The 21,480-nt window shown below is 36.2% G+C and overlaps 1 protein-coding gene across 12 annotated transcripts in view, besides 1 other annotated feature; it reads left to right on the forward strand.

Annotated features, from left to right (window-relative positions):
- The window catches only part of DZIP3 (DAZ interacting zinc finger protein 3), a 105,331-nt gene that overhangs the window by 67,828 nt on the left and 16,023 nt on the right, over positions 1 to 21,480 (forward strand). For 11 of the 12 annotated variants that reach the window (XM_005247917.4, XM_005247914.5, XM_047449256.1 and 8 more), the window contains 7 exons: positions 4,540 to 4,635; positions 4,793 to 4,920; positions 12,344 to 12,412; positions 15,223 to 15,319; positions 16,741 to 16,844; positions 18,449 to 18,536; positions 20,160 to 20,261. In XM_005247917.4, the coding sequence (XP_005247974.1) occupies positions 4,540 to 4,635; positions 4,793 to 4,920; positions 12,344 to 12,412; positions 15,223 to 15,319; positions 16,741 to 16,844; positions 18,449 to 18,536; positions 20,160 to 20,261 (684 nt within the window). Of the gene's footprint in view, positions 1 to 4,539; positions 4,636 to 4,792; positions 4,921 to 12,343; positions 12,413 to 15,222; positions 15,320 to 16,740; positions 16,845 to 18,448; positions 18,537 to 20,145; positions 20,262 to 21,480 lie in introns of those variants that run through there. The other variant, XM_047449257.1, reaches the window with a different exon arrangement.
- Positions 20,536 to 20,707: a silencer, noted in NCBI's record as "fragment chr3:108396720-108396891 (GRCh37/hg19 assembly coordinates)". NCBI's record gives its function as "represses an EF-1alpha promoter that drives an FKBP-Casp9 reporter gene in an ReSE screen in HepG2 liver carcinoma cells {active_cell/tissue: HepG2}" and the evidence as "EXISTENCE:reporter gene assay evidence [ECO:0000049][PMID:32094911]".

Below are 21,480 nucleotides of genomic sequence, written 5' to 3' on the forward strand. Positions count from 1 at the left end.
ATTCTTAAAGAAAAGAATTTTCAACCCAGAATTTCATATCCAGCCAAACTAAGCTTCATAAGTAAAGGAGAAATAAAATCCTTTACAGACAAGCAAATGCTGAGAGATTTTTGTCACCACCAGGCCTGCCCTAAAAGAGCTCCTGAAGGAAGCACTAAACATGGAAAGGAACAACCAGTACCAGCAACTGCAAAAACATGCCAAATTGTAAAGACCATCGAGGCTAGGAAGAAACTGCATCAACTAACGAGCAAAATAACCAGCTAACATCATAATGACAGGATCAAATTCACACATAACAATATTAACCTTAAATGTAAATGGGTTAAATGCTCCAATTAAAAGACACAGAGTGGCAAATTGGATAAAGAGTCAAGATCCATCAGTGTGCTGTATTCAGGAAACCCATCTCACGTGCAGAGACACACATAGGCTCAAAATAAAGAGATGGAGGAAGATCTACCAAGCAAATGGAAAACAAAAAAAGGCAGGGGTTGCAATCCTAGTCTCTGATAAAACAGACTTTAAACCAACAAAGATCAAAAGAGACAAAGAAGGTCTTTACATAATGGTAAAGGGATCAATTAAACAAGAAGAGCTAACTATCCTAAATATATATGCACCCAATATAGGAGCACTCAGATTCATAAAGCAAGTCATTAAAGACCTACAAAGAGACTTAGACTCCCACACAATAATCATGGGAGACTTTAACACCCCACTGTCAACATTAGACAGATCAATGAGACAGAAAGTTAACAAGGATATCCAGGAATTGAACTCAGCTCTGCACCAAGCGGACCTAATAGACATCTACAGAACTCTCCACCCCAAATCAACAGAATATACATTTTTCTCAGCACCACACCACACCTATTCCAAAATTGACCACATAGTTAGAAGTAAAGCACTCCTCAGCAAATGTAAAAGAACAGAAATTATAACAAACTGTCTCTCAGACCACAGTGCAATCAAAGTAGAACTCAAGATTAAGAAACTCACTCAAAACCGCTCAACTACATGGAAACTGAACAACCTGCTCCTGAATGACTACTGGGTACATAACGAAATGAAGGCAGAAATAAAGATGTTCTTTGAAACCAACGAGAACAAAGACACAACATACCAGAATCTCTGGGACACATTCAAAGCAGTGTGTAGAGGGAAATTTGTAGCACTAAATGCCCACAAGAGAAAGCAGGAAAGATCTAAAATTGACACCCTAACATCACAATTAAAAGAACTAGAGAAGCAAGAGCAAACACATTCAAAAGCTAGCAGAAGGCAAGAAATAACTAAGATCAGAGCAGAACTGAAGGGGATAGAGACACAAAAAACCCTTCAAAAAATCAATGAATCCAGGAGCTGGTTTTTTGAAAAGATCAACAAAATTGATAGACCGCTAGCAAGACTAATAAAGAAGAAAAGAGAGAAGAATCAAATAGACACAATAAAAAATGATAAAGGGGATATCACCACCAATCCCACAGAAATACAAACTACCATCAGAGAATACTATAAACACCTCTACGCAAATAAACTAGAAAATCTAGAAGAAATGGATAAATTCCTCGACATATACACCCTCCCAAGACTAAACCAGGAAGAAGTTGAATCTCTGAATAGACCAATAACAGGCTCTGAAATTGAGGCAATAATTAATAGCTTACCAACCAAAAAAAAGTCCAGGACCAGATGGATTCACAGCCGAATTCTACCAGAGGTACAAGGAGGAGCTGGTACCATTCCTTCCGAAACTATTCCAATCAATAGAAAAAGAGGGAATCCTCCCTAACTTGTTTTATGAGGCCAGCATCATCCTGATAGCAAAGCCGGGCAGAGACATAACAAAAAAAGAGAATTTTAGACCAATATCCCTGATGAACATCGATGCAAAAATCCTCAATAAAATACTGGCAAACTGAATCCAGCAGCACATCAAAAAGCTTATCCACCATGATCAAGTGGGCTTCATCACTGGGATGCAAGGCTGGTTCAACATACGCAAATCAATAAATCCAGCATATAAACAGAACCAAAGACAAAAACCACATGATATCTCAATAGATGCAGAAAAGGCCTTTGACAAAATTCAACAACGCCTTCATGCTAAAAACTCTCAATAAATTAGGTATTGATGGGATGTATCTCAAAATAGTAAGAGCTATCTATGACAAACCCACAGCCAATATCATACTGAATGGGCAAAAACTGGAAGCATTCCCTTTGAAAACTGGCACAAGACAGGGATGCCCTCTCTCACCACTCCTATTCAACATAGTGTTGGAAGTTCTGGCCAGGGCAATCAGGCAGGAGAAGGAAATAAAGGGTATTCAATTAGGAAAAGAGGAAGTCAAATTGTCCCTGTTTGCAGATGACATGATTGTATGTCTAGAAAACTCCATCATCTCAGCCCAAAATCTCCTTAAGCTGATAAGCAACTTCAGCAAAGTCTCAGGATATAAAATCAATGTGCAAAAATCACAAGCATTCTTATACACCAATAACAGACAAACAGAGAGCCAAATCATGAGTGAACTCCCATTCACAATTGCTTCAAAGAGAATAAAATACCTAGGAATCCAACTTACAAGGGATGTGAAGGACCTCTTCAAGGAGAACTACAAACCACTGCTCAACAAAATAAAAGAGGATACAAAGAAATGGAAGAACATTCCATGCTCATGGGTAGGAAGAATCAATATTGTGAAAATGGCCATACTGCCCAAGGTAATTTATAGATTCAATTCCATCCCCATCAAGCTACCAATGACTTTTTTCACAGAATTGGAAAAAACCACTTTAAAGTTCATATGGAACCAAAAAAGAGCCTGCATTGCGAAGTCAATCCTAAGGCACAAGAACAAAGCTGGAGGCATCACACTACCTGACTTCAAAGTATACTACAAGGCTACAGTAACGAAAACAGCATGGTACTGGTACCAAAACAGAGATATAGACCAATGGAACAGAACGGAGCCCTCAGAAATAATGCCACATATCTACAACTATCTGATCTTTGAAAAACCTGACAAAAACAGAAATTGGGAAAGGATTCCCTATTTAATAAATGGTGCTGGGAAAACTGGCTAGCCATATGTAGAAAGCTGAAACTGGATCCCTTCCTTACACCTTGTACAAAAACCAATTCAAGATGGATTAAAGACTTAAATGTTAGACCTAAAACCATAAAAACCCTAGAAGAAAACCTAGGCAATACCATTCAGGACATAGGCATGGGCAAGGACTTCATGTCTAAAACACCAAAAGCAATGGCAACAAAAGCCAAAATTGACAAATGGGATCTAATTAAACTAAAGAGCTTCTGCACAGCAAAAGAAACTACCATCAGAGTCAACAGGCAACCTACAGAATGGGAGAAAATTTTTGCAACCTACTCATCTGACAAAGGGCTAATATCCAGAATCTGCAATGAACTCAAACAAATTTACAAGAAAAAAACAACCCCATCAACAGGTGGGCAAAGGATATGAACAGACACTTCTCAAAAGAACACATATATGCAGCCAAAAGACAGATGAAAAAATACTCATCATCACTGGCCATCAGAGAAATGCAAATCAAAACCACAATGAGATACCATCTCACACCAGTTAGAATGGCAGTCATTAAAAAGTCAGGAAACAACAGGTGCTGGAGAGGATATGGAGAAATAGGAACACTTTTACACTGTTGGTGGGACTGTAAACTAGGTCAACCATTGTGGAAGTCCATGTGGCGATTCCTCAGGGATCTAGAACTAGAGATACCATTTGACCCAGCCATCCCATTACTGGGTATATACCCAAAGGATTATAAATCATGCTGCTATAAAGATACATGCACACGTATGTTTATTGCAGCACTATTCACAATAGCAAAGACTTGGAACCAACCCAAATGTCCAACAATGATAGACTGGATTAAGGAAATGTGGCACATATACACCACGGAATACTATGCAGCCATAAAAAATGATGAGTTCATGTCCTTTTTAGGGACATGGAAGAAGCTGGAAACCATCATTCTCAGCAAACTATCGCAAGGACAAAAAACGAAACACCACATGTTCTCACTCATAGGTGGGAATTGAACAATGAGAACACATGGACACAGGAAGGGGAACATCACACATCGGGGCCTGTTGTGAGGTGGAGGGAGGGGGAAGAGATAGCATTATGAGATATACCTAATGTTAAATGACGAGTTAATGGGTGCAGCACACCAACATGGCACATGTATACATATGTAACAAACCTGCACATTGTGCACATGTACCCTAAAACTTAAAGTATAATAATTAAAAAAAAAGAAATGGTAAGCATGCCGGTAGTGGTATCCAGCAGCAGCAGCAACAGGCAAGTAACTGGTACTGTTTATTAAATGCTGTAATTGAGGGGAGGTGGGTTTATCTAAATTGAGTGTTTGACTTGAGACAAAAAACGTGAAAGGAGTTAGATGGCAACTTTAAATCCCTTTCAAATAACTAAAATTTTTTTTTGAGGAAAATAATACATGCATATTTCCTGTGCTCAATAGGGCTCAGCTGGCAAAGTAACTACAGACTATGGAGAAACTGAAAAGGAAAGGCTTGCTCGTCAAAGGCAGCTTTATAAATTGCACTATCAGTGTGAAGTAAGTATTTTTGCCATTAGATCTGATGGAAGTGAGAAGTATTTCAAATATTAAACTTACTGGTGCTTTCTGTTTGAAAAGAACTTAGTTTGCTTTTTTCTTTCAATTTCTGGTGACTTGAACATAATTATCTGAAATAATATTTTTTATTGATCAGGATTTCAAAAGACAGTTGAGAACAGTGACTTTTCGGTGGCAAGAAAACCAAATGCAGATTAAAAAGAAAGACAAAATTATCGCATCTCTTAATCAACAAGTTGCTTTTGGAATCAATAAGGTTTCCAAGTAAGTGTAAATCTTTTGATAAAGGGAAATTCTGCGCCGTAATAAACAGTATCTTTAATAGTTAATCTCTGCATAACCACTAGGTGGCACTGTGACTACACATTAGGAACCTCAACCACACGACTGCACTTGTTTAAAAACCAACCATATTTTTGTCTTGCCAACTGGATTGAGAAATAAGCAGCTGCTCACACTATATATCAAGCTTTTCATGTATTGGCTGAACAAGTGTGAAAAGAATAGAATTACATGAGAAAGATAATTAACTTTCAGGTCATGACTCTAATTTGTAAAAATGTGACCAATGATTGGCTGTTTCTATATAGTATATGAGTACATTCCTTAAAGACACCAAGGAATCAGTTGAGTGTATTTTTATGTTGGTCTTTCATTTGTGTTCTAAGCCTGCGAGATTGAAAACAAATCTTTTTGTTTGTTTGTTTGACTGGGAGAGACTCTTTCCCCCCTTACCCCAATCTCTTTTCTCCTAAACCTGAAGTATTAAATGCCTTCAGACCAAAAATTCTGACTGACTTAGGGAAAAATTAGTAACCTGCTTTGTTCTTTTTGTACTAATCACTGCTTCCAACCTGTATTTGTTTAAATAGTAGCATAGTTTGTAGCACATTATTTTAATAAACAGTAATACCATAAGACACCAGCCATCCAAGAAGTCTAGTTTAAAATCCATTGCAGTTTCTAGAATGCTGATAGGGAGAATAGAAAAGTGCTTCGAATGTCTTTGAATGGGGAGTCCAAGATATTTCTTATAAATTGGGGAAATATTTGCCAGAGATTTAGGTCTTAATTTTTCTCTCATATATTGTATCTACTACATGAAGGGGTTATCAGGAAGAACTAGGTGCCATAGTTCTGACAACATAATTTCACTTACAAACATTGTCAGACTTACCCTGACTAGAGTTAGAGAGATCCTTCAAGTTCAGAAGGCTGTGAGGACTTAAGAAAACTTAGACAAACGAAGCTGGCTGCAATCACTTAAGAAACTTTACTTTAGGCCGGATGCGGTGGCTCATGCCTGTAATCCCAGCACTTTGGGAGGCTGAGGCGGGTGGATCACTTGAGGTTGGGAGTTCGAAACCAGCCTGACCAACATGGAAAAACCCCATCTCTACTAAAAATACAAAATTAGCCAGGCATGGTGGCGCATGCCTGTAGTCCCAGCTACTCGGGAGGCTGAGGCAGGAGAATCGCTTGAACCCAGGAGGCGGAGGTTGCAGTGAGCCGAGATCGTGCCGTTGCACTCCAGTCTGGGGAACAAGAGCAAAAGTCTGTCTCAAAAAAAAAAAAAAAAGAAACTGTACTTCAGCATTCAAAACTTCATCTTTTAGCCTAAAGGGGATGACCAGTCCAGAAATATGTCATATAATATCAAAGATTAGAAAAGCATTGCCATCAATGCAGATGAGCTACCTCTCTTCCATCTGAAGATATCCCTCCGCAACTCTTTACCGCTGACCCATGCACTCTTACATGCTTCAGGCTATAAGCAGTCCACTTTTGCTGATGCATATGTCTTCACAAAATGAACATTTCGTGTTGGGCATTCACCAAACATTTATCAAGGGCCTACTATATTAGAAAACTTATGGAAGGCACATGTAGAAGATACCAAGATGTGTGAGACATTCATTATGATCTAATGGAGAGTGTAGATTAACATGTAAGGATAAAATTACATAAAACAGAGACTTCCAGGTCCACCAAAATGTATAGTCCTATTCCTCACAGCTGTTTCTTCTTGAAACTTAAGCACCCTGGATATAGCACAACAGACAAGCATAGGAACACTCTAGAAGACGGAATAAGAAAGCATGCTGTCTAAAGACATTGAGACTTGAGGAATGAGCTGGCAGTAAGTTTTCTCCTTTGCCTCCCATATATCTCGGGACACTGCAGAAGCCTTCAACCTGGAATTGCTAATAAGCACAGGGGGAGAAAAGCCTGTCCCTTCTAGCCAAAGGATCAGTAAAAGGAAATTATAACAATAGAAAGGCTTTTTGACAATACCCACCGTACTGCAGCCACACACCAGTGGCCCCACACCACCCCTTGGAAGTAGGCAGTACATGCTGATTCTCCTACCTAACATAAGTAAGTAGCAGCAATCTTATTTTCCTGCTGGGGTAGTGTTGGCAGTAGTAAGCAAGCAGCTGACTTCCAAGTTCCACTGGGGAGAAGGAGACAGTGCTTTAATTCCTCTGCCAGGATGTGTCAGTGTGGTCCAGCTGAAAGCTGAACCTCTGCTGCTACCCAGCACCAATGTTACTTAAGCCAGTCTGAGACAAAACTAGTCAATACTAGGCTTCATCCTTACTCCCTCTCACTAGGAATTAAGTCTTCACCCATGGGGCTAGTTGGTATTCCCTTTTCCCCCCTTCCCTCAGCTGGTGCCAGAAGGGCACAACAGGGAGCTGAACTTCTGCCTCCACCCTGCAGCAACAAAGTATTGTCAGTCCTTTGCTTTCTCCTTTCCTAATGTCAGCAGGGCCCAGCAAGGAGCTGATCTTATATTCCACTTGGAGGCAAAAAGGCAGTGTGAGCTGGTGCTCCACTTTCATGGGAAGGTGTCAGTTGGACTGGGAGGGGAGCTGAACTTGTACATCTCTCGTCTGCACTGAGGCAGTGTGAGTCAGTGCCCACTTTTCCTGGGGTGCTTTTGGTAGAGCTCAGTGCAAAGCCATGCATACACACCTCCTTGGCTTTTACATTATGCCTCAACAGGAGACTGCCTGCTAAAAATAGGAAGATTAAATAGAACCCAGAGTCTCATAATATTCAAAATATCTAGGCTACATTAGAAAACACAGATCATACCAAGAACCAGGAAATTCAGACAAGAAAGGCAAAAGACCAACAAATGACAATATTAATATTATTCAGATATTGGAATTATCTGACAAAGATTTTAAAGCAACCATCATAAAAATGCTTCAACAAAATTGAATAATCTTGAGACAAATGAAAACCTAGAATATCTCAGTAAGGAAATAAGTTATAATAAAGAATGAAAATTATATACTAGAAAATACAGTGATTGAAATTAAAACTTGCTGGATATAATCACTAGTAAAGTGGAGATGACAGAGGATTGAATCAGTGAACTTGGGGACAGATGAATAGAATGAACTCAATCTGAAGAACAAAGAGAAAATAGACTGGGAGAAAAAAATTAAAAAGAGTCTAAAGGACCTTTGAGCCAATAACAAAAGAGCTAAAGTACTTGTCACTGGAATTTCAAAAAGAGAGCAGAATGAGAGAGAGACTGAAAAAGTATTCAAAGAAATACTGAAATTTCCCCAAATTTGATGAAATGTATAAATTTACAAATTCAGAAACTAAGTGAACCCCGAATAGCAAAAACTCAAATCCATGCTAAGACACATCATAACTTAACTTCTGAAAACAAAAGACAAAGAAAAGGCTTGAAAACAGGCAGAGAAAAACATTACTTATGAGAACAGTAATTTGAATGACAACAGATTTTTCGTTTGAAACCATGAAGGCCAGAATGAAGTGGCAGTTTATTCAATTACCGAAAGAAAAGAGCAGAACCATGAATCCTGTATTTAGCAAAAAATATTCTGTAGGAATAGAAGGAAATAAAGACAGTCTCAGACAATGGAAAATTATAAGAATTTATTGCTAGCAAATTCATATATCTTACCGTTAAAGTATGGCTATAGGAAGGTCTCTAAACTTTAAAAATATATATATAGTAGAAGCTTGAGACTTCAGAAAGGAAAGAAGACCATCAGAATGAGTAAAGAGTAAGATAAATAATAAGAAGTTGTCCTAATTAATTTCTTAAATCATATTTGATGGTTGAAGCAAAAATTTTAACACTATCTCGTGGAATTCAATGTATGTAGAAGAAACACCAGTATATTTGAAAAGTGAGGAGGGTAAAGGCACCTAAATGAGAATAAAGCTAGGGATATATCATGCAGATGTTTATTAAAAAAAAGTAAGAATGGCTATATTAAAATCAGATTAAATGGACTTCAGAAGAAAGAAGACTGTTGGACACAAAGAGGGACATTACATAATGATGAAAGGATCAATCCACAAGAACCTCAAGGTATATGTACCAAAAACAGCCTCAAAACACATGAAGTAAAACCTGATAGAGCTGAAAGGAGAAATGGAAAAGTTTACCATTATAATTGAACACTTCAAACTCCACTCTCAATTTATAGTACTACTAAACAGAAAATCAGCAAGGATATAGAAGACCTCAATAACCACCATCAACCAGCAGGACCTAACTGATATTTATAGAACACCCCACCCGACAACAGTAGAATACACATGCTTTCAAGTGACCACAGGATGTATCTACCAAGATAGACAATAACCTGGGCCATAAAACAAACCTCAACAACAAATTTAAGAGTTGAAATCATACAAAGCATGTTCTCAGGTCACAATGGAGTCAAATTAAACATCAGTAACGGAGAGATACCAAGAAACCTCCAAAGGCCTGGAAACTATGCAACCCATGTCTAAATAATCCATGGGTCAAAGAAGAGCTCTCAAGAGAAAATACATTGAATTTACATGAAAATACAATATGTCAAAATTTGTGCCACATAGCTGAGGCAGTGCTGAGATTATAACACTAAATACACACATTAGAAAAAGAGAAAAGTCTTCAGTGGATAATCCAAGCTCTCACTTCAAGATCCCAGAAAAAGAAAATCAAAATAGACTCAAAGCAAGCAGGAGGAAATAAGTTATAAAGATTAGAAATAATGGGAGCAGGATGCAGTGGTGCACACCTGTAGTCCCAGCTACTTGAGAGGCTGAGATGGGAGGATTGCTTGAACCCAGGAGTTACAGTTCAGCATGGGCAACATAGCAAGGCTCCATTTCAAAAAAAAAAGAAACTGAGAAAGAATGAGTTGGAAAAAGAAAAATAGTAGAGAAAATCCATGAAACAAAAAGCTGTGTCTTTGAAAAGGTCAATAAAATTGACAAACCTCTAGCAAGACTGACAATATAAAAGACATAAATTACTACCATCCGGAATGAAACAGTGATATGTATCACTGCAAATACTACAAACACTGCAGACATCAGAAGATTATGCTGATTGAAAAAAGCCAGTTCCAAAAGCTTATATATGTTTCCATTTGCTGAACATTCTTGAAATGACAAAATTATAAAAATGGAAAACAGATTAGTGGTTCCAAGGTTATAAGAAGGGGATGAGAGTGGAAGGGAAGTGGTTGTGGCTTTAAAAGGGCAAAATGAAGGATCCCTGTGGTGATAGAACAGTTCAGTATCTTGACTGTATTACCATCAATATTCTGGTTATGGTATTATACAGTAGTTTTGCAAGATGTTACCATGGGGAGAAATTGGGGAAAGGATACATGGGTTCTTTGTGTATTATTTCTTATACACGCATATGAATTTACAATTATCTTGAAATAAAAAGTTTAACTATTTTAAAAAGTACATAATGAAAAACTGTCAAACAAGAGTATACTTAGTGGAAATTTTGTAGGGTAGAGAGAATATTTTTTTGATTGTTGTGATAAGGAACTTCCTTCAATGAAGAACTTTGTTAAAGACATAGTACTGAACCTAGGCATTGAAGGTTAGGTGGGATGAGATGGAAGAAAAGACAGGGCATCAAGGCAGAATGGACATAATGACTACTCTGTGTTCTCATATAAGCTTTTGAACGTTTTCTTCGTTTAATTCATCTGAACATTGCCCAAGAGTATGTGATAAAATATAAATATTCTTTAATTGTAAATGTTGGCTTCTTTCATCTTAGAATATGGAGATTAGAAAGCAAAAATGGTGTGGTTTTTTGGCCTAATTCAATTTGGTATGTGCAGTAAATGTTTGGCAAATATTTGTTGATGACAGTTGAAGTGTTAACAAAGAAGATTTTATGGAAGTGACTTAACTTTGGATAAACTACAATAAGCAGTTAGTAATATGTCAAGAAACTGCTGTCAACAGTCTATAATAAAACTTGATAGTCAGCTAGAGTTAACTTGAGAACTTTAGATTTTTTAGAAAGAAAATCTAGTAATTTCATTCTGTTATATTAAACATGAGAAAAAGACTGAGAAGTTAAGACTGCCTGAACATACGTAGCTGACTCTTATCTGAGCTGGATAATAAGAACTATGCCTACCTTATCCTCTGTTGTTTAAGAGTCTAGGTGTTCTGAATTCCCCACTAGTTATGTCTACTCTTATTGCCCACTCTAAACTAGAGCTGGGTAAAATATTGAAGTAATGGAAGTATACAAAGGAAAACAAGATGGCAGTCTTACAAATTTTACTGCTTTTCAACTCTGTCAACATATTCCTATATATTACAGTAATGAAGCTTGTATTTCTTAATATTTCACTTGAGAACATGACCTCTTTTGTACAGAAAGAGACCTGGTTTCTTTTCACTGCATTCTCAGACCAACAAAACATTAACTATAAGTCTCTAAGTCTTCTAAGAAGCTTAGAATAAAGGTGAATGGGTAGTCTCTGAAATCTGGTAGTGAGCAATCCATCCAACATTAAAGTCGTCATTTCAAAGATGTATTATTCCAACCAAAACTCTTCCATTTATCCCAAGAATTTCAACATATTAGAGACTTAAAGAGAAATGTGCTTTTATTATAAATCTTTTCATATTGAAGTTAATTACTAGGTTTATGTAAAAGCTTGCTTGTGAAAAGAAATACAGCAGCATAAGGGAGGAACATCAGAAATCTGGTATGTGAATATATGTCAACCAAAAAGTATATGCGTTTCTCTTAGTTTCTTACATATTAATTTTGAAGCTGATCACAGGCTATAGATTCTGATTTATACAAAATTTTTACCCATTCTTTCCATGATAAGATCATGTGAGTGACCCCCAGGTGATAATTCATAGTTTTAATTAAAATTTGCATTTGTACACAGCCTCATCACTTCAATATTTAAGGTTTGATTTCCTTTAGACCTTAAATCTTTCATAATTTGCATGACTTGATATAATACCACTTTAAGGAACTTAAAGTTCTCAATCTCACAACAGGCTTAGAAAATCAGAAGATACCATCTCTGTTTTCTAGTAGGTAAGCTGAAGCATGAAGAGCTAGAGACATTTTTCCAAGTCATTGCACTGAGATGCAAGATAACACTTCTCTTTTGCTTTCTAATTTACTGAATTAGAACTTAGTTCCCCTTTCTTTGGGAAGTCAGTAAATCAGACATCAGAAACAAGATACATTTCAAAAGGACCAGGTATAGGAGTTCAGTTGTATTCAGGCTCAAGATTTGTGGCCCCAAATGGACATACTTTATCTCCTCCACAGCTGTAGTTAGAGCTCTTCTGACTGTGTTAATGAGAAATAATTTCTAACATCTTTTGACTTTCTTGCTTGTTTGCTTAGATTACAGCGTCAAATCCATGCTAAAGATAATGAAATCAAGAACCTTAAAGAGCAACTTTCTATGAAAAGGTACAAACTTAGCTTTTTCTTTGGGTGCACTCTCTCTGAAACTGTATTTCACTCAACACTTTCTGGCTGGCATATTGATGTAATTTATCATTCAAACCGGGGTACTTTTGAGGCTGATATTGAACAGTACTAATAATACACTGGGACAAAAGGTGTAAACTGGGAGTATCTTAGGCAAATAGGGAGGTATGGTCACTTTAGCTCTGACTCTAGAAAACTGCTAGAAGAATCTGTATCAGCAAAGTTACAGTCCCAGAGCAAACTACTGCCAGAGATTAGACCTTAAGAGTTACCCCAGTCAGTACTATTAGATGTGACTGCTTTATGAAACTGGCCAAGTTTTATTCTTATTCATCTGTTTTGCCTGTGGGAAATTTTTTTAATAACACCTTTTTGAAATCCATTTCATACAGCATAAAATTATCTCTGTTAAAATATACAATTTATTGATTTAGAATATTCACAGAGGTTTACAGTCATCACCACTATCTATTTCCAGAACATTTTTATCACTCCAAAAAAGAAACCCATTAGATGTCATTCCCTATTCTCCCCTCCTCTAGCTTCTGGCAACTGCTAATTTATTTTCTGTCTGTATGGATTTGCCTCTTTTGGACATTTCATATAAATTGGATCATATAATATGTAGCCTCTTGTGAGTAACATTTTTCACTTAACATAGTTTCAAAATTCATTCATGTTGTAGCATGTATCATTACTCATACCTTTTTATGGATAAATAATATTCCATTCCTTGGCTATACCTTATTTTATTTTTCATCAGTTGATGGACATTTGGCTTGTTTCCATTGTTTGGCTATTATGAATACTGTTATCAATATTTATATACAGATTTGTGGACATGTTTTTGTATTTCTTGGGTATGTACCAAGGAGTAGAATTGCTTGGTGATCAGTCAACTTTATGTTTAACTTTTTGAGGAATTGCCAAACTGTTTTCCAAGTAGCTGCACCATTTTATAATCCTATAAACAGTGTATGAGGGTTTCAATTTCTCCACATTCTGATCAACATTTGTTACACTTGTTAGATTACGTCTTTATTTTACCCATTGTATTATGTGTGAAGTAGTATATAAATGTGGTTTTGATTTGCATTTTCCCACTGATTAATTATGTTGAGCATCTTTTCATGTGCTTATTGGCCAGTTATTTATCTTCTTGGAGAAATGTCTATTCAAATCCTTTGCCCATTTTAAAAATTAGATTGTCTTTTTATTGTTGAGTTTTAAGAGTTCTTGTCCCTTATCAGATACAAGTCCCTTATCGGATACATGATTTTCAAATACTCTCATTCTTTGGGTTGCCTTTTCATTTTCTTAATGTCATTTAAAGCACAAAACTTAATTTGATGAAGTCCGATTTGTAATTTTTTTCTTTTAGGCAACTTTTACATAATATTTAATGGTATAATAATTAATTCCTTTTGTGTTAATATATCTGCTTGAAGATTTTATTTTTTTCTCCTCAAAAAAGTCTAGCCTTAATGATATTTATAATGTACTGTTATCAAGTTTCTCATCAATGTTTGTTAGGTCCTCAAGTATCCAAGTGTTTCTGATAATAAAACATCGAGGACTGCCTTTGTGACAGTCTCTATTATAATGCCGTATTTTCAATTAATTGTTTTCATTAAATTTAGAATTTGGTTTGTATGCTTATAGAATTCTGGGACTCAAGTGTAGGAAGCTGAGATGGGATAGATTAAAAAAGGAACCTCATAGGTAACCATTTACCTAATGTCCTTCATAAACAATGTATTTACCATCATCTTCCTCCTTCCCTCTCAAACTGTAGGGTTTGCTTTCATTCAAAAATGTTGAATGTAAGCACTGAAATAACCAGTCAAATATTTTAATGCAGTAACTTCACGTAATGACGGGGATAATAAAAACCTATGTGGTTGCTATCATTGGGATACAAAAAAGCTTATAGAAATTTTATGTAGAACTTATTAATCATGATACTAGCTAACATTTATTTATTAGTGCTTATTATGTGCCAAACACAAAGTGCTTTATATTATCTGAATTAATTTTCACAGCAGCTCTTTGAGGTAAGTAGTACCGTTTTTTCCATTTTCCTCATTTTTACATGTGAGGAAACTGAGGTATAGAGAAATTAAATAGCTTGCTGTCTTAGGTTGAACTGCTCTGTCAAAATACCATTGATTGGGTGGCTTATAAAAATAGAATTGTATCTCTCACAGTTCTGGAAGCTGGGAAGTCCAAGATCAAGGTAGCAGCCTATTTGGTATCTGGTGAGGATCCTCTTCCTCATAGACAGCCGTCTTCCCACTATAACTTCACATAGCAGAAGGCAGGCAAGGAAGCTCTCTCAGGCCTTTTTCAAATGGGCATTAATTCCATTCATTGGAGTTCCGCCCTTATGACTGATCATCTTCCAAAGGCACCACCTCCTAATACCATCACTTCGGGGGTTAAGATTTCAACATATGAGTTTTGGGGGAACACAAACATTCAGTTCATTGCACTTGCCCAGGGGTTTTACAGTTAATAAGTTGTGGAGCTAAGATTCATCCTCAGACAACTTGATTTCACAGCTAAGTTTTAAATCATAGCCTACACCCTGATAAAACTTCTATACTCTTGATAGTAAAGGATAACAGTAGGGATTGAACAATGTATCTTCTCTTGTTTCTATGTGCTCTATACTTTTCCAAGAAATAATTTCCTACTGATTGTATAACTTATCTTTCTTCCTCCTGAATTAGATGAAAAAGGCTCTGCTTGATGTAATATTGCGAGTCTTTAATGATCATGTATTTCAGATCTCAGTGGGAAATGGAAAAACATAATCTGGAAAGCACAATGAAAACATACGTAAGCAAACTGAACGCAGAAACTAGCAGAGCTTTAACAGCCGAGGTAACAACAAAACGGGGACAGGGGTATGGGGTGAGGGGAAAAGTTTTACTTGTATACCATCATACTAAAGAATTTGTAAAAGATTGTTTTTTGTATAAACAGAAATAAGACATCTTAGGATCAGCCAGGAAAATACAGTTGAAAGTCTTGTGCTTTTTTGACTCATTGGCAAATCATGTGTGAATACTTCAGTTTTGATGTTCTTATGTTGTTTTCTGCCAATGACTTGAAGAAATTGGTCTGTTACAGTATGTATAGCAAATACAGACATCTTGGGGAAATTCTCATGAAGCCAAGTCACTAAGCCAAACTTCTAATAATAGCATTTTACTGCTGCCACAATATCTTCTTTGCTACTTCCAATATATATCTTACAAAAATACTTACACATCATACACCTGAATGTAAAAAACCAGCTTTTCAGACTGCCAGCTTTTTCTAAGTTAGAACACCACAGCTAGGGTCTCTCAAAAGAAATATGATTGTATGTGTGTATGTAATTTTTATTTATACATAACAAAACTTGATATACAGTAAGATTCACATTTTTGGAGAGATCACTGACATTAAAAGCACTACAAACCTTACACCTCTGTCATGGGTAAGCTCTGTTCTCTAGCAGAGTACTTGGGATCCTGGAAGTCAGCAACCAAGAAGTAGTATCTGAACCAAAAATTCGTGAAGAATACTGTTGGGGTACTAGCTTTAACAAAAGAAACAGTTCAGATTACTTTAAAAGCTCGTTTGTATAGAGTGTTTTTTATTGTTTTTAATCAGTAAATTTCTTTGTGCTTCTATTATTAATTTTAGAAAGAACTTTTTAATACTTAATGCTGTCCAACAGTGTATTTTAGTGAATACTGAGTGTTTAGTAGTAAAAAACAGAGGCTAAATTACTGCAAGTAGTGATATGGAAAGGATTCCTGCTGCGAGAGAGACACTGAACTACGTAATCTCCCAAGCCCGTTTCTGTCTTTCTGTATGGTCTTATTATTACCTCTTCATCAATGACAAAAGAATAGATAGCAGGAGTGTTCTCAAACTTTACTGCATGTTAGAATTATCAGAGAGCTTTTAAAAATGCCAATGCCCAAGCTATACTCAGTATCAATCAAATTAGAATATCTGGGACCAAGGCACCATTTTTGAAAGTTTCTGAGACGATTCCAGTATGATTACAAATTTGAAAAGACATGATCTGGAATGTTTACCAACCTAGTAACCATTAAATAAGGAAATTAGAATTGCAGAGGTGGCATTGATTTAAAAGCTTTTGTAATGTATCTTGAATGGTCAAGGAACCTAGATGCTATTGGAAGAAATTGAGAAATAGCTTTAAATTTACTTGAGATGATTGAGAAGAGAATGTTCCTTTACAAGCACACCTTCAACTTCTTTCTCTTTCTCTCAAAAACCTGTAGGTGTATTTCTTACAGTGTCGTAGGGATTTTGGTTTGCTTCATCTAGAGCAGACTGAAAAGGAATGTCTCAATCAGCTTGCCAGGGTGACTCACATGGCAGCAAGGTAACCTTTCCCTCTTCCTTAATGCATCTTAATTTTAGAGATGTTAGCAAGTGTCTCCACGGTTGAATATAATCTGTGATGTGTTTTACATATGTGACATCAGAGTTCTTAAAGAAGCTCTTGTGGTTTTTTTGGGTTTTTTTTCATTTTTTTCCCCCTGAAATTCCTTTTACCAGAAGCTCTTGTTGTTGTTGTTTTTGTTGTTGTTGTTTAAACCTCAAAAGTCATTTAGTTACTTTGATGCTTGTACTTGGCTGCTTCTGCTGAAGCACTGAGAAGTCTAATGAGTACTATGTACAATAATAGCTGCTGAAAGATTTTTTCCCTTCCTCTGTAGTGAAGTAGATCAAAAGTCTCAGAGACATACGTGAACACCAGATACTTATGAAACAAGGTGGATTCTAATTGGAAGACTTTTTTTCTAATTGTTTTCCTTTGTAATGATTTTAAACACCTACAGAATATGTTGAGGGAAACATCAGTATTAACACCTAAATCGTATGTTAAAGGTAGTTTTCTGCTGTGCTTTTATAGTAATTATAGAGTAATTTTCAAATATTGAACAGGTTGCATGAAATTCTCCTTAAATTTATAATCTCATGGGGTACACCAAACTTAAAGAATTAATTAAATTAGAATCTCTGGGACCCAGGCATCATTATTTTTAAATGATTATTATTTTAATAATCAGCATTGTTCTTTCATTCTAAAGAATCAGAGTCTTTGATGTTAGCTAGATTATCAGGATATACTGATGTGCACTCAAGTCAGGGAAGTACTGTTGTAAATGATCAGTCTATTTTTGCTTGCTAGAAGAAGAAAGAGTGCTCTATACATTAGGATATTATGGAACTTCTTTGTATGAGATTATGTTAGTGATAACTTGTTCAGCTCTTATAAAATTGTTGGGCTGGGTGATACTGGCGTGGGATGTTATAATGGATAGAACCTTTTAAAAGGCCATATGAAATCTCTTTTCTAGAGATAATAGACCCTAACAACTTCAAAGTTGTTCCTACTTTTGTTAAGTCATTTGGTAGGCATGAGTTGATAAAACTATTGTTTGTGCAATTTATGTACTATATAAAGGCAGCAACCTCATTCGTACTCAAATAGAAGATATTTCTAATTTATCCTCCCAGAGACAGTATCTTTTTCTAATTTGCAAAGGAGCCATATAGGCCAACCATGGCTTTTTGATGTCAGAGTTAATGTGAAGATAGTCCAAAACTTGCTTCCAACATGGGTCAACATTTTAGAGAACACTGCTGTATTAGATTACTAAGGCTTTCCTGCTTCATTGGAAAGATTCCTTACAAAGGTTTTATAATATATACTAAAAAGACATCATCAAGATAGAAAAAACTTGTTCTGGAAGCATCAATTTTATTTGCTTGTGAAAAATGAATTTTTTATTACTGTTTTTGTTATTTTTAGTAACAAACCTGTCCATACCTCTTTATGTCCATTTGAAGTAATTGTTGGTGATGGGGGTAATTTTGTTTTTTGTTGACATATATGCTAGAAAGCGTGATAGACATGTTTGGAAACCTAAGTGTTATAAAAAGAAAGAGTTTTCTTTTGTGTCTCCTTTTCTACAACAGCAACCTAGAATCACTTCAATTAAAGGCTGCGGTAGACAGTTGGAATGCCATTGTGGCAGATGTTAGAAACAAGATTGCATTCCTCAGGGTAAGTCCTGAAGTATATTTGGAGAAAATTGGCTTAATGTTATAGGTGGTGTAAAGTTAGAAGACATATTAGTAGAAAAATTTAAGGAAGAACATATTTTCCATTTTAGTTATAAAAGTTTATGCCTTCACTTTGAGATTACTTCCATGTGGTTGGTTGTAGATAACATCCTAGACTCACACGTGTAGTCTTTTATATCCTTAGTCAAGAAAATAAACTCAAAAATTGTGCCCTCACACCTAGCTTTCCTAGAATTTCAAAGCTAACAGTGCCCCAATCAAAACTAAATGTTTTGGCCAGGCATAGTGGCTCATGCCTATAATCCCAGCATTTTGGGAGCCAAGGCGAGAGGATCACTTGAGCCAGGTGCTCACGGTTATGGTGAGTTATGATCATGCCACTGTACTACAGCCTGGACAATAGAGTGAGACTCTCTCTAAAACAAAATTTGGAATAAAAACTAAATGTTTTAATGCGGTCTGAGTAATAATGTGTTTACAGAATAAAAAAGAAAATCAAGTAGGCCTGTATTTGTTTTCAATCTAACTTTTTATGTAATTATTCCATAATGCAAAATAGTAAATTCTTAAGTACTGGTGTAGGACCATGCTACAGGTAATCTAAAGACATAATCCACTGAATATTTATTAATTGATTTTGTTTTAGAATCTTTTTATATTTATATACTAAGGTTGATAGATAATGTTGATTTTTTTGTGATTTCACAACACTATCAGCAAAAAAAAAAGCATTGTCATTCAGTTGTGAAGTGCCAAAAGCAACTGGATATTTGTCCAACTCCCTTGGGGGTTTTCACTGTTTCTCTCCAAACTCTTTCTTACTCAGTCTTTAGTGATGCTTAGCGTTTCTGTTGGGTTTATTCAAAATTTTTGCCTCAAAAGACCTGCCCCATGTTTTCTTCCAAGCACATGTCCTCCATGCAGAAGTTTCTAAATGTTTTGTTTTATAAGACTTTCCTTCCCAGTTCCTACGCGTTCTTTACAAAATAATATGGTAAGCAAAAGTGGGGACAATGCCAAAAAATGTTGAAAATGTGTTGTTAAACTTCCAGGTTGGAGTTTTTGTCAGAATCCAAGAGAATAAAATGTGTATGGAGCTAGAACAAGCTAGAGTTACAGATTGTGAGATAAACACAATGTAGAATTTCATAAGTAATCTCTAAAATTTTTCCTTCCGTTTTTAAAATGAACATTTGCAAGTAGTTTAACTGCTTGTTACAAATATATTTTTTCCTGTTTTTTAGCCAGTATAATATTTATAGCTTCTTGAATCTTTAGTCTCTTTTTTTATTTGTATCAGTGGTTCCTATTTTAGAGCTGAAAATTTTGGAAGCACTGAGGAATTATCACAAGAATCTGTGAATTATCTGTGTCTCTGTTTCTTATTAACCAATAACGACTCCTAAAAATACAACTGTTTACATGTGGGGATGGTCTATAGAATTTTTTTTTTTTTTTGGTCAGAACCTGTTTTTATATTATTTCTGACAGGTTGGCAACCACTCTTGTATGTTGTATTATTCAAAACTACATCAGATATTCCCATATGCTGTCTCTTTAAAGTTGGTTGTTCTCTAAAGTATTTTTAGTCTTCTTCTACCAGACACAGTACAATGAACAAATAAACAAAGTCAAGCAAGGATTTGCCTTGAGTACCTTGCCTCCAGTCCAGCTTCCTCCTCCACCACCCAGTCCTGAGATACTGGTAAGAAATACAACATTTTGAATAATTGCCCTTTTCATTTTGACAAAATGGTAAGGGCTGTGAAACACTGAATATGCAGTATGTTTAACGTGTGTTCAAAATGGAATAGGCACATATTGTGAGTATCACTTGTAATTATGACCATACCTTCGAGTCACCAGATGATATAATTAGATGGGTGAGGCCTATACAATAGGTTGTATCACTGGATTTTAGTGAAGCATTTGATATACATAGAGTAATATTTTCTCATTCACCCTATTTCACCTACCTTGTGGGAGCTAAATAATGAATACTCAGACTTCCCAGTGTCCTCATGTTACCACTAGATCAGAGGTCCCCAACCTCTGGGCCACGGACCAGTGCACAGCAGGAGGTGAGCAGTGGGTGAAGAAGCAAAACTTTATCTGTATGTACAGCTGCTCCCCATTGCTCACATTACCACCTGAGCTCTGCATCCTGTCAAATCAGCTGCAGCACTAGATTCTCACAGGAGTGTGAACCATATTGTGAACTGTGCATGTGAAGGATCTAGGTTATGTGCTCCTTGTGAGAATCTAATGCCTGGTGATCTGTCACTGTCTCCCATCACCCCCAGATGGGACTATCTAGTTGCAGAAAAACAAGCTTGGGGCTCCCACTAATTCTACATTATAGTGAGTTATATGATTATTTTATTATATATTACAATGTAATAATACTAGAAATAAAGTGCACAATAAATGTAATGTGCTTGAATTCTCCCAAAACCATCTCCACTCCCCAGTTCTTGAAAAAATTATCTTCCATGAAACCAGTCCCTGGTGCCGAAAAGATTGGGGACCGCTGCACGAAATGACTGAAACATCTCAATGTAATACCCTGCATGGCTGGACCTCACCTCTGCATTTCTACTTTAGACTTTCTTTTTGTGAAGTTTTATATTCTATTCTACCTCCAACAGCAAGGACAGCTTCCACTTCTGCCCCTTCTCTGCTTGTTGTTAGGGGCCAGTGGATCTTAATCAGATAAACTAATCCCTGTCCTGTATGTCTGGGAAACATAGCACCCTAACCCAGTAAATTCACACAGCTTTCCAAAAGACCTTTTAAGAGGGTGTCATTGGATGACAATTTTTATTATCTTAAGAGATCTGGCAGTAGGAAGAGAGGAAAAGTGTAAGTTATGTGGGGACAGATGACTTTGATATCACCACTCCTGCTTATAATAGAAACCTGAA

This window comes from Homo sapiens, chromosome 3 (assembly GCF_000001405.40).
Source record: "Homo sapiens chromosome 3, GRCh38.p14 Primary Assembly".
NCBI classification, from domain to species: Eukaryota; Metazoa; Chordata; class Mammalia; order Primates; family Hominidae; genus Homo; species Homo sapiens.